Source organism: Homo sapiens, chromosome 11 (assembly GCF_000001405.40).
Source record: "Homo sapiens chromosome 11, GRCh38.p14 Primary Assembly".
Lineage (NCBI taxonomy): Eukaryota > Metazoa > Chordata > Mammalia > Primates > Hominidae > Homo > Homo sapiens.
In genome coordinates, this window is record NC_000011.10 from 28,911,289 (window position 1) to 28,925,955 (window position 14,667).

The following is a 14,667-nucleotide window of genomic DNA, read 5'->3' on the forward strand; positions in this document are numbered from 1 at the left end:
CTCGTTCTTAGTGGAAAAATTGCTTCTTATTTATGCTGAAAGCTGAATTTTACTGAAAACACTCTCACATTACCTCACCTTCATCCTCTCATGTTTCGATTCAGGCACTTGGAAAAAAGTCCATGGAGCTGTAAGCTCCTTGAAGGTAGAAATAATAATTTAGTCACTTTTTTTTTCTTTGATGCCCAACTGATTGTCTTTAACGTAAAGGTTGCTTCCAAACTTACTCAACTATATGCATTATTAAAACATAAAATGAACCCACCTTCCTTGACCCTGCTACTTTTCTGGCTACATTTTAGTCTTTCCATTTACATCAAAATATTGAAGAAAGGGACTTCTCCATTGCTTCTAGTTCATACCCACTTGCTCCATTTTAACTATGTGAAATAAGATTTATCTTCCAAATTCATGAACTCCTGAAAATACTATCAAAAGATTACCAGTGACCTCTTTGCCCCTACAGCCAGGAACTGTACCTTAGCTATTATTTTTTTTAGATGTTTTGGTTTTTTGGAAGCACTTAAATATTTAATATTTGAAATCACCTTCTTTTTGAATCTTTCTTCTGCTTTGGTTGGTAAGTTGCATAGATTCTCCCATTCTGCTACTCATTCTTTCTCTATGTTTTTAATGACTTCCTTTTCTTCTCTCAGTCTTTAAGGGAGGGCACTCAAGCTTCTACCTCAAACCTTTCCTGTTCTTAGAATATACTCATGGTTTCCTTTCTGATTTCTATGCAGATAATTCCCAAATGACATCTTCAGCCCTGGTTTCCTGCATGCCTTCTTCCTGTGTTTATTCTCAACTCGCAGTAGTATAGACTGGATTGATTTGTGGATATCATTTTAAATTCAGTGCATTCCAAGTGAATTCAGAATTTTGCTCCCCAAACTACCTTTTCTTTCTAGATAAAACCATGGGCAGTAGCACTCTCATACTTCTAGAGACCTGAACTCAAATTATAGAATTGCCTTTCACTCTTCTCTCGGGCATCTTACAGCATCCAATATGTCACTATGTCTTTTGATTCTTCTTTTGAAAAATCTCTGGGATTCTATTTTTTCCCCTTTTCATCGTTCACTAAAGTGAAGAGCCCAGGATTCCAACACCCTAACCTACATACTTTCACACTAGTTTTCCTTTCCTTTCCACTGTTTTTCTATCATTGGATAATCACTATATTATAATAGTAAATGAAGTTTTCTACCTGCCAGTCTCACGATTGACTTGCCTGCAACATAAAGTTCCTACTTTCTGGTCAAGGATAATATTCTGATAAGCTTACCACACTTTACCTAGCTAGTCTTTTCTCCTTAAACATTAGCTTCTAACCTTTGCCCCAGATAAATTTGTGTTCTCGTATCTTCTATCTGAACTTTTTCAAATGTACATGAAACTCTTTTCCTGATTTCTAGATTTTGCAAACTTCTCTTTTGCCGTATACTAAATTTCGGGTACTACAGAATATATTTCATTAAATTTCAATTTCCTGTTTACTCACCAGTCTTACCAGACTCATAGTGGTAAAGGACTTTTATTATGCTTCCTGCCATATACTCAGTGCTTAGCACTATGTCTGCCACTTAGCAAGTGCTCAGAATATATTGAAAAATAAATATCTTAGCTCTGATTCACCTACAGAATCTAGTCAAATGTGTGCCACGTACTATGCCCTCCATTCTTTCTGGCTGTTTAATTTATATATGTATATATTTTTTCCTTCTTGATTATAGTGAATGCTATCTGTTACAGACATCTTTTCATAGGGTAGACTTATACTGCAAATACCCACATTTATAGTTGCTTTTTATTTCTTTTAAAAGTATTTATAACATCTTGTCTTGTTTGGCAACCAAATTGCCTAAATAAATTTAGCAATGTCTAGCTTAAGAGTTTACCTTATAATATTAACCACCCATTTAATTCTGCATCGCTGTTCTTATGAGAGGGCTGGCACAATTATTTCATAATCGTCTCTGACTACATTTTATATAGTTTCATGTTAGTTGGCCTAATATACTATTTCCTATTTATGCTAATAATTTCTGATCTTATACTTCAATACCAGTGAGGCTTTTGTTCAATACATTCAGGTTACACAAGGAGATTATTGTATTGCTATTATTATTATTAAATATTTAGGCTCTGAAGGCTTTTAAGTAGGTTATTTGGTTTAGATATATTATTGCAATAAATAGTTTGTACCCTTAAAATATATTTTATTCAACTTACAACAGTTAAAGTATTGAAATCATAGCCCAGTGAATTCTTGCTTATTACACATTGCACATCAATATGTAAATGAATATAATTCTGATAAAGATAGACAAAACTACACAAATCTTTGATTAATAGAATATAGGTTTAAACATATTTCTTGTTTACTCTATGCTGTTCAAATTACTAAGGACAACCAACAAGCACCTTAAAATTGAGACAAAATGACTGTTTTTATAACACAGAATTTTAGGTTAAATTATAAATTATAAACATTATATAGTTCTTGATGAAACAAGAGGTTGTAGTTTCTTCTATAACTGGCTTACGGGGGTGGGGAGTGGAGATTAGAGAGGGTAAGACTCAGAATAAGACAGTTCTTAAAAAAATTAACCTTTTATTGTTTTGGTTTGGGAGTGCTTGGCAAGTTTTTTTTTCCAGGTATTCTTTAAACATAACTACTTTCATGTATATAAGTGTAGAAAAATGTGACTTGTGCATCAGCTGTAGGTTAAAATAATGGAATAAATAATATCTTGTGGCATTCTGAATAGGGAACTGGTACTGAGAGTCTCTTTTCCCCCTGAGGCCTTCCCCTCTGTCACCTGCCACCACTTCTGACCTATGAGTCACTGACTATTCCAACTTCATTAAAAATCTTTATTAAATTAGTTTGAATCCCAAGCCTCTATATTAAGAGAAGCTAAATTGAATTTTATACTTTTAAAATAGAGAATTGTAGTGGATATTGCAGAATCATTGAAATGTTTGTGTATTTGGAAATCTTGGTGTATGTATACACATATATTTGTGTATATGAAAGTATGTGTATGTATACACATATATTTGTGTATATGAATGTATGTGTATGTATACATATGAATATAGGTAAATTCATACCATCCACCCCCCTTTTTCTTTTGTTTTAGGATGGCATGCTCTATTACTTCTTTAAGAAGTAATAATATCAATAATTGACATTTATTGATTATTATGTGTAAAATGCTGTGCAAAGTGCTTCATCACACACTTTAATAAAACCTCCTTTAATCAATGGTAAGCTTAGTGTAGAAGTAGCCTGTGTGTATCTTGTTTGTTACTAGATACTGCCTATTATATAATGCACACTCAATAGATATTAGTTGAGTGAAGGAATGAATATCACTATATAGTTATAAAACAGACATAATTGTCTTTATTATGCAAATGAGAAAAATGAGATTGGCTAGTCTCTCACTTGGAAGAGAACTTCCAAAACTCATCCTTACTCCAAAGTCCATGGGTTTAATTACATTACAATTAGGTGAAAATATTCACCAGAGGCAAAGTTTTTTGGACAGAATTTTCAGTTAAATATATTAATTCCTTTGTGGAAAAACGACCCTACTACCAACATAAAATTCTTTATTCTCTTATGAAACAGTAACCTACTGAAATTTTTCTTAGGCTAAAGCATCTAAAATGCTTCACAACTGTTCCAGATTAAGTCTGTGTTAATAAGGCTGTGGTTCCTTGGTATTTTTATACATATTTATGTTGCTTTAAGTTATTTTCATTATTAAGGTATGACTCTTCATATGATTAGATATATTTAATAAGCAAAAGTATATGCATATATAATTTAATTTTAAAATTAATTTTGGAATTATCTATTGGATAAAGCTATCTGAAAAAGGTCTACTCCTGTCTGACAAGAATCAATATAAGGGAAATGCCAATAAATTCACTTTGTTTGCCACTTTAAAAACATGAAGAACAAAAAGCTGAAGAAATCAAGTGTGTTTGTTTTTTGGAGTTCTCTGGGAAATCATACCTTCTACAGTCAATACTGTGAGTTCCCTGTGTGTCTTCACATAGGCTTTATTTTTAGGCTTTGTAACTCTGAGTGTACTGGGTCATGTGTTCCTAATATCACTTGTTAAATTCTACCTTGAAAATAGCCCACATCAATATAGTGAATAAGTCAAATATTTTCCAAAATATATGAGGCATTTAAATGTATATGGCATGTTCTGTACCTCAAAATAATAAAAGCAATATATGACAAACCCACAGCCAACATTAGACTAAGTGAGGATAAGTTGAAAGCATTCCCATTAAGAACTGGATCAAAACAAGGATGTCCACTTTCGCCATTTCTATTCAATATAGTACAGGAAATCCCAGCCAGAGCAATCAGGGAAGAGAAAAATAAAAATCATCTAAATTGGAAAACAGGAAGTCAAACTATTTCTGTTAGATGGTGATATGCTCTTATACGTAGAAAACCCTAAAGACTCCTCCATGAGTCCTAGATTTAGTAAGTTAATAAAGTCTCAGTTTACAAAATCAGTATATGCAAATCAAAAGTACTGCTATACACCAACAATGACCAAGCTGAGAATCAAATCAAGAACTCAATCCCTTTTACAGTAGCTACTAAAAAATGCCTAGGAGCATACTTAACTAACGAGGTGAACAATCTCTATGAGGAGAACTATAAAACACTGATGAAATAAATCTAGGTGACACAAAGTGGAAAAACATCTCTTACTCATGGATTGGAGTAATCAATATTGTGAAAATGACCATACTGCCCAAAGTAATCTACAGATTCAGTTCAATTCCTACCAAAATACCAATGTCACTTTTCACAGAATTAGGATAAAAAAGCCTAAAATTCATATGGAACCAAATAAGAGCCTGAGTAGCCAAAGCAATCCAAAGCAAAAAGAGCAAACGTGGAGGCATCACATTAACCACCTTCAAATTGTACTATGTGCCTATAGTAACGAAAACAGCATGGTACTGGTATTAAAATAGACACATAAACTAATGGAACAGAATAGAGAATCAAGAAACAAAAGCAAATACTTGCAACCAACTGATCTTCAACAAAGGGGACAAAACATACACTGGGGAAAGGACATTCAATAAATGATGCTGGGAAATTTTGATAGCCACATGCAGAAAAAATGAAACTGGTCCTCATCTCTCACCATATAAAATATTCAAGATCGATTAGAGTCTTACATCTCAAAGCTAAAACTGAAAAGATTCTAGAACAAAACCCATGAAAAACTGTTCTGGACATTGTTCTAGACAAATAATTTATCACTAAGACCACAAAAGCAAATACAAGAAAAAAACAAAATTAAATAAATGGGACTTTAAAGTAAAAAGCTTCTGCACAACAAAAGACCTAACAGAGTAAGCAGACAACCTACAGAATAGGAGAAAATATTTGTAAACTGTGCATCTGACAAAGGACTATTATCCAGAATCTAAAAGGAACTCAAAATATAACCAAGAAAAAACATAATAATCTCATAAAAAAGTAGGCAGTGTTTATTTGTGTCCTTTGCCCACTTTTTAATGGGATTTCCTTTGCAGGGACATGGATGAAGCTGGAAGCCGTTATCCTCAGCAAACTAATGCAAGAACGGAAAATCAAACACCGCATGTTCTCACTTATAAGTAGGAGCTGAACAATGAGAACACATGGACACGAGGACAGGAACAACACACCTGGGGCCTGCCAAGGGATGAGGTCAGGAGAGGAAGAGTATTAGGAAAAATAGCTAATGCATGCTGGGCTTAATTACCTAGGTAATGGGTTGATGGGTGCAGCAAACCATTATGGCACACATTTACCTATGTAACAAACCCACACATCCTGCACACGTACCCCAGAAATTAACATAAAGATTAAAATTAATTTAAAAAGTGGGCAAACAGCATGAACGGACATTTAGCAAAAGAAGATATACAAATGGCCGACAAACATGAAAAAATTCTCGACATCACTAATCATTAGGAAAATTCAAATTAAAAGCAGAATGACCTTACCATGGCCAGAATGGCCATTATTAAAAAGTCAAAAAACAATAGATGTTAGCACAGATGTGGTGAAAAAGGAATGCTTACACACTGCTGGTGAGAATGTAAATTAGTACAACCTTTATGGAAAACAGAATGGAGATTTTTCAAAGAACTAAAAGTAGATCAGTTCAATCCAGCAACCCCACTACTAGGTATCTACCTAGAGGAAAATAAGTCATTATATTAAAAAGACACTTGCATATGTATTTTTATTTCAGCACAGTACACAATTGCACAGAATAGAATCAACCTAAGAGTGGGCAAAGAAATTGTGATATGTATATACCATGCAATACTATTCAGCTGCCAAAAAGAATGCAATAATGTCTTTTGCAGCAACTTGGAAGGAACTGGGTGCCATAATCCTAATGAAGTAACTTGGGAATGGAAAACCAAATACCTCATGTTCTCACTTATAAGTGGGAGTTAACCTATAGATAGGCAAAAACATAGAGTTAGGTATAATGGACTTTGGAGACTCAAAAGTGGGAAAGTGAGCGGATAAGAGATAAAAAAAAAAATCACCTGTTAGGAACAATGTACACTATTTAGGTGAAGAGTACACTAAAAGCCCAGACTTTACTACTACACAATTCATCTGTGTAACCAAAAACCACGTATACCCCTAGAACTATTCAAATAAAATTATAAATAGATTTATATGACATGTTTTTATTGTCATTTTCTCACCAATGTTTCTTTCCAATAAAATATGTATTAAGGAGAATATTTTAGTTGAGCAAATAAAGTAACTTACTGAATATATCATATGTATTCATATCACACACATTCTTCTAGGGAATGGGAATAATACCAGGGTAAACCAGACCAATATAGCCCTTAACTTTGGTCCAATATCATAGTTTAATTAGAAAGCACAGAAAATTTTACTGAAAATTATAATATAGTCTTATAAATTGTGTAGCAGAAGAAGTTTGGGGTACTCTCAAAACACTTAAGGGCATGTGACCCATGTCTGGGTGATCAGGGAATGCTTCTAGGAGGAAGTGACATTTAATCTGAAATATGGAAGATAAAAAGGAGCTGATCATTTCTAGTAACATCCTGAGATAAATGGTCTAAAACTTGGGAACCTAACCGATTTGACTGGTTTGAAGTTGATGCTTTTGCCAAGATCATAAAAATGCTGTTATTAAAATACAGGAAGGTACCTCTGGGGTTTCAAACACCAGAAAACTGCATGTATGAAGAAGGCTTGTGGCAAAAGACAGCTTGCAGCTCTGAAAAAACTTTGGGGAGAAAACTTCCAAAAAACTACAAGAAAGGTGTGCATAGCAGAATGAGAGTGAGAGACAGAAAAAAATATATATGGAAGAAGGGGGCAAGATTAGACCCTGGAAGTAGTTTTAAACAGGAAAGAGCATGGTAACAATCACATTTGCATTTTTAAGAGTGGGCAGGTGCCCATCCAAGCGCATATGTCCAGCAGGCATTTGGAGAAACAGGTCAGAGGCACTTGTGTGTGAACTCTGTTGGGTGTATGGATTTGGGAGTTATCAGCATGTAAATTATAATTGAGGGAACAGGAATTCATGAGATCATACTGGAAGAGTGAGCAGAGCAATAAGATGAGAAAGACAAAAGAGAAACCTGAGAAACACTAACAGTAACATTATCTGTTGTGGTTTAGAGAAAAGAAGTCTTAATTCCCATTTCAAAAAGAAATGAGCTTGCAACCAGGACTTGTGGTTCTCCAGAAAATGGCCCGATTTTCTAAATTATTTAAGAAATTTCTATTTTGATATTACAAAAGTAATGTTCATTTTGGATAATTTGGAAGATACAGAAAAAATAAAAAAAAATTACCTAGACTCTTACCACTCAGAACTAAGGGATATTAAAATGTTGGCATGTTTACTGTGAATCCTTTAATTTTTTCATACCTCCTTGTATTCAGGGACCCTGGACTTAGCTGTATGACGTGTTATAGCCAACGGAACAGTGAGACATATGGCACAAGCAGAGGCTTGCAAAGTTCTTGTGCTGTAGCTTGCTCACTTACTGCTCTTTGACTCCCTGAGACTGATATGCGAAAAAGCACAGGCTTGCCTGCTGAGTGATGGTGCAGAGGTGAGCCATCTCAGCTGAGACCTCCTAGTCCAACCAGACTTTCATTATGTGAGCGAGGCCATCCTAAAACATCGATCCCCAGTTAAAGTTGCCTAGACCTAAAAAACATACCATCCAACCCAGTATCATGAAAACAAAAAAGTTGATTATTTTAAGCCTCTGAAGTTTTGAAAGGATTTGTTACAGAGCAATAGTCAACTGATATGATGATGGCTGTTAAGTGAATTTACAAGGAAGGGATATGACACGTGTACTTAGAAGGCTTGGGTTTAATTTCACCTCCACAGCATCCTGGCTGTGTGGTTCTGGATAATTAACTTGCTCCTTTCAATTCCAATTTCTTTATCTGTAGAATATTTCTCCAGATGAAGTACAACACGAATAAAAAATTATAAGCTCAGAAACATTATCCATTATTATTATGCTTTCATGAGATTAAAACATAACTCTGTTTCATTTTCTAAGTCAAGTTCCCTGTTAAGCAACTACAGTTGTCCCCCTTAAGCCACATTTTTTTCCCCATGGTTTCAGTTACTCACAGTCAAAGGTAATCCTAAAATAGGTGGGCACAGTACAATAAGATATTTTGAGAGACAGAATTACCACATGCCTATAACTTTTCTTATAGAATATTGTTATGGTTCTGTTTTATTATTAGTTATTGTTAATCTCATAATGTGACTAATTTATAAGTTTAACTTTATCATAGGTATGTATGTATAAAAAAACAGTATATATAGGGCTTGATTCTCTTCCATGGTTTCAGGCATCCACTGGGCTTCTTGCAGCATATCCCCCATGGATCAGGAAGTACTATGGTATATCAATTTAATATGATGCAACTCTTATCCAGTTTATACTGTTATGACATCCAATATAATGTAGTAAGCTACTGCCATACTTCTCACAGCAAAACATGACTTGAAGTCCAATTGACTTGGATATCATTATTTCTATCATTAGTAAGAATAAACATAAAAGCTCATATTTACATGTGTTGCATTCTATGAAATAGTAACTGTTGTTATCACCACTTTTTATGCAAGGAAACTGATATAGACTAATTTTCTTTTAGTTACATAACCAGCAAATGATAGAGCCTAGGATTTAGCCTATGACTTGGGTTTTTCTGAGTCCAGACCCTGAGTCCTTTGCCACTATGCTATTGTGTTTCAGAGTTAGAACCTTAAGTTTCAAAGAGCAAACCAACCGTGGGAGCCCTTGTAGAACTCTCAGATCACCTGGGGCAAGATCTTGATGATATTCTACCTTATTCACTTACCAATTTTGGCAAAGTTGACTTCAGATTCCCATATCTTCCCTACAGAGTGTGCCTAGGACAATGCAGGATGCTTTATCCATTGCCTGTGAAAGACATCACAGCACCTGTGAACCTGTGAAAGACATCAAACTTAGAACCTGTGAAAGACATCAAAGCACTCTTAACTCATCTCCAGTTAACCAATTAAACTTTTTGGAAAATACAATTTATCTCTCTCTTCATGGATTCCTCTTTCCCCATTATATCCTTTTTCTCCATCTTTTATCAGGTAGTTAGCACCACTATTTTAAACCTTAAAAATATTTTATTCTTATCCAGCTTCCTATTTTTCTTTTTATGCAAAATTCCTCATTCAAGCGGACCTCTGTTCTGACCCTTGTTTAAAAGGAGGTATTGCTGATTCACTTCATAGTGGATCAAACAATGTAAATATTGCATTGACTAAAATCCGAACATAAGTTTAAAAATCAACTTTCATAGGCTTTTCGTCCTTCTAAAATAAATACTTTTGATCTTAGTAATCATATGACAATATGGCTATTGAGAAACCAGAGCCAAAAGAAAAAAAAAATCTATCACGTTAGTTTGTGGAATAAGCCACTGAAGCCTTATTTCTCTTATTCTTTTCCCTTTTCTCACCCCTTCTTTGTCACCCCAGGGGATAAATTATTATTGGCATTCCAACTTTTAAATAGTTTTAAATGGCTTTTTCTTGTGGTTCAGATGTGATGTTACATCTGTCACAGCTACTGAAATATATCTCCTTTCTTGCTTTATAATTTACCAGCTGGTTAGTGCTAGTAGCAAAAGTTACTTTCCTCCCCAAAGTGCAGCCTTTATAACAGTGGATCATCAATGGCTCTTCTTCGTGACAGATGTTATCTGACATAATATAAGTGGGAATGCCACAATAAGGCACCATTAGAAAATCTGATAATTAAGTGATATTTTGATGTGTTTCAAGCTTATATTTAAAAATAAAGCGTAGATAGAAGAATTTCTGAGTTTGATCTATTGCCCAAGTTTGCATATTTTCACAGAATAGGAACAAAACAAAACCTTCCATAATACCTATTGGAAAACCATGAACCTTGCAAACTACCATCCACAAGTCATCAAATTTTATTTTTCTTCACCTTTTTTGAGTAACTTAGATTTTCAGGTAAGGTAATTTTATACTTCTTGTTTCATGTTATAGGACCCCTTGTAATCATCTCTTTCTTGCTATTTATGCAATATATGGCCCATATAACTTTGGATCCGTATAATTTTGTATTGTAGTTATCTATTTTTCTAACCTTGTTTTGTTTTGTTTGTTTTGTTTTGTTTTTGCCTTCTAGAGATTGATTTCCTTGAAAATGAGAATTTCAATTGGCTTTTGACCATCAGTACCTAATATAAGGACATACTGTGTATACACGCAGTGGATCTTCAAAAATATCTGTTGAGTAAATGCATTATTTTAGGATGTCTCTGATTCTCCCTTTCCCTTCATGTTTCTCCATTCTTTTTTCTCTTTCTTCTCATCTTGTTCTTCAGTTTTTAAGTGTGCATGGGGTCATAACGGCCTGCTAGATTGTCTGAGGCCAAATCTTTAGCCCTTTTTTAAGGAGCCTAAAGTCTCCATCCTCAGGATTCCCTGAAGATTCATTACCATTTGCCCCTATCCTTGCACAACAGCTTAATCATAACATTTCCTTATACTCTAACCAGCACTCCTGGATCTTTAAATAGCTCTATTCCCTTATTTTCCTGCCAGTTCTCCAAAATACAAGCCAGATGAGGGGGATGGACCAAAGAAGCAAAGCAACACCATGGACATCCCAGCAGAGAAAGCTTCTTGTTTCCCATCACTTTACTGGAGCAAAGATTACTGTCCAAAGGTAGCTTCTCTATCAGGGGACTAGCTTTTGGGCTTGGGCCCAAGGAACAATCAACAGTGCAAATGTGCATCAGCTGTTACACTTTGCCTTACAGTTTTGCAGTCTTTCTGTTTGTTCTATATGGCCAGCTGCTTGTCTGCCACTTGGCAGCCTCACACCAACATAGTGTTAACCAGTTTGCTTCCCCCTTATCTGGTTCTGGAAATTGATCCCCGCATATCTGATTCATTACTTCAAACAAACCTCTGATCAAGAGGCTTGAGAGCCACAGGTGGCCACTTCAGCTGAGAGAAACAAAAGGCCCTATGTAGACGTTCTCTTTAGAATCAAGAAACAAACCTATTTTTATAGTACTTGCAACTGATATCTTGCATATAGCAAGCATTAATTCATGTTTTATCATAATCAGATTTCTCATAGCTCTCACATGAATCTGATACAATGGGATACAACTTTATATTTATTTCCACTTAGGGGAAACCATACTATTTAAGGCATATTTTTTTTGTCCCTAGTACTTACCTGAGCCCTGTTTTACCCTCCAGTGAATCCTAATATGATCACCTTCTAAGACAAAGTGGACTTATACTTACTTACTATTGAAATTAATTATATTTCTATCACTTGGACATAAATGGAAAAGGAGAGATTTATTATTTATTTATAATTATAAATGAATAGCATTATAATAGAGACTGAAAGAACCTTTGGGAATGTGGGAGCAAATTAATCTCACTTAGTCTACAGATAAAGGGAGACTTCTTGCCAGGTTGACTTTTAAGCTGAGCCCTGCAGGAATGAGTAAACATTTAAGGTAAGAGAGAATTGAGACTCAGCAAGGTACATTTAAAGCACTGAAAGAAATTCCAAATGGGTAGTCAGGATAAGGGTGATTTGGGCGGGAAAAGAGCTTGAAAATCATTTGTGCAATTGTGCTGTTGCTGATCACATGTAAATAGTATGGTAATGACTACATCACAGGTAGACATATACAAAGTTGTATACTGCTTGTAGAGTCACTGTGAAGAGTTCACAAAAGAAGTTACATGTTTCTCACACCTTGAAGAATTAATAGAAATTACTTTCACAAAATGAATGACAGTAAGACATTGCTACAGTAACAAGTGGATGGAAGTATAATGTTGTAGGTATTGTAGACATTGGGTGCATGTTTGTAGGGTGCTGAGTGGTATGTTGAGAATGCTAGAGATGAGCTAGGAGAAGTAGGTAGCTGCCAGTTTGTGAACATATTTGTCATGATAAGAAATCTGAATTTTATCCTGTAGTCAATGGGAGGTCTTGTAAATATTGTTATCTATTCTCATTAGATTCTCTCACTTGTATCCTATAGTCAATTCTGGAAATTTCAAATATGGGGAGCAATTGATATAGCCCTAAACTATTTTTTAATTTAGTTGTAAAGACCAACCAAGTAATTTACATTTAAAAAGTCAGATTATGATATTGCAGTACTCCTTGAAATTTCTAATAACATGGATCACGAAATTGCTGACCTTCAAAAGACCACATTTGGCGTCATCAAGTAGTCCTGAAATAACTCCTTGCTTCATAGATTTATTGCACAATACATTTTCTTTTGCTCACACCTTAGAAGATCACTGTTGTTTTGTAGGCAGCTGCCCTTTCTCTTTACAAGGGAAGTAGCATTTTTATCACCTACCAAAGATCATTGTTGAGAAAATAAGTGTTATCACTCTGTCAATGGCCTATTTTAACTACCTTCCTTGGGCAGTGATCAGAAATGAGCTGAATAAAAAGGAATGAAAGTATTTCAAACAAATCTGTTTATAGTACGCAGGAAGCAAGAAAAGTCAGTCTTGATTCTTTACTGGCTTACCATTTACACAGTACCATCTACATATTTACATAGTAGAATAATCTACTCTTGAAAAATTCTATAATATTGAAGAGTATATTGCAAATGTCATTTGGTCATTCACCCAGGAACATGAAAACCATTGGTATGATTTAATTTTTTAATCTGCAGTATTTATTAGGTATCTTTACAAATCTCATCTCTTAGAGACAGCTATGATAAAAATAGCTCACTCAGAAATAAACGTTCGCCTTTAGAAAACTTCTTTCCACCTAAGTCCTAGGTGCCTGCACTTGCTTGTTTCTTGGGTCATCATTCAGGTATTACACTTTATCTGTTCCTCCTCAAACAGCCACATTTATACCAATCATAAGATTTTACTTACCTGCACCATTTTCCCCAGATTCCTAATTCCTGGGTAAAGAATTAGTATAATAAATGAAAAAATGCTAAGACATGATGTAATAATTTTAAGCAGTAGTTTTTCATTATTATATTTTGATTTTAGAAAATCAGTTCTTATAGAAGCATCCTGGATGCATTAAACAGTGTGACTAGGGTTGCTCTCGTAATAGTTCAGATGAAGTAGTATGAAGGCATTAGGCAGGAGAGGGACAGAAAGAATGTTATAACACACACACACAATCACACTCCATATATATGTGTGGAATATAGATATGGCATATATAAATATATAATGCATATGTAAATGGAATATATATGCTATGTGTGTATATATACTTATATAATATATAGAAAGCACATAGAATTTATAGAGATGATTTCTATAGCAAATGAGAAAAAAGAGGAATGGCAAGAATAGGTAAGAACGTGGATGATGGGGGACATTAGGTCAGAAAACATGTATAGAAAGAGACACGCATATTTGAGGTAAAGAAATATAATGAATACAGTTATAGGTAAATGAGAATTAAGTGTCCTTGGCTCATGCTTGTAATCCCAGCACTTTGGGAGGCCGAGGGAGAAGGACTGCTTGAGTTCAGGAATTCAAGACCAGCCTCGGCAACTTAGCAAGACATTGTCTCTACTAAAGATCAAAAAAATTAGCTAGGTATGATGGCACATGCCTGTAGTTCCAGCTACTCATGAGGCTGAGGTAAGAAGATCACTTGAGCCTAAGGAGATGGAGGCTACAGTGAGCTATGATCATGCCACTGCATTCTAGGCTGTGACAGAGTGAAAGCCTAATTTTTTAAAGAAAGTGTCTGTGGGGATATCTAAGTGGGAACACACAACAGGCAAGTAAAAATATGTGTTCACAATTCTAGAGAGACAAGAGCTGTTTAAGTAGATTCCATAGCCATTGATATATGAATAAGTAACTGTTAACCCCATGAAAGTGGATATTACACAGGAAGAGTTCATGGAACATGAATCAAGGACACCTAAGAACAGATGTAAGAGTTCCTCTGCTTAAAGGGAAAACTAGAAGTCAACAAAGGAGGGATCAGGAAAGTAGGAACAGGCCAGAA

The 14,667-nt window shown here is 34.8% G+C and overlaps 2 long non-coding RNA genes across 4 annotated transcripts in view; one reads left to right on the forward strand and one right to left on the reverse strand.

Annotated features, from left to right (window-relative positions):
• Window positions 1–14,667, reverse strand: part of LOC105376604 (uncharacterized) — a 46,463-nt gene that overhangs the window by 16,722 nt on the left and 15,074 nt on the right. Inside the window, exons 1-2 of one of the 3 annotated variants that reach the window (XR_007062637.1) lie at window positions 12,852–12,892; window positions 9,455–9,566 (exon numbers count right to left, since the gene is read on the reverse strand). This is a non-coding gene — a long non-coding RNA (uncharacterized LOC105376604). Of the gene's footprint in view, window positions 1–9,454; window positions 9,567–12,851; window positions 12,893–12,933; window positions 13,015–14,667 lie in introns of those variants that run through there. The other 2 variants (XR_931149.3, XR_007062638.1) reach the window with 2 other exon arrangements.
• LINC02742 (long intergenic non-protein coding RNA 2742) overlaps window positions 1–14,667 on the forward strand; it is a 162,086-nt gene that overhangs the window by 9,052 nt on the left and 138,367 nt on the right. The window lies entirely within an intron of this gene.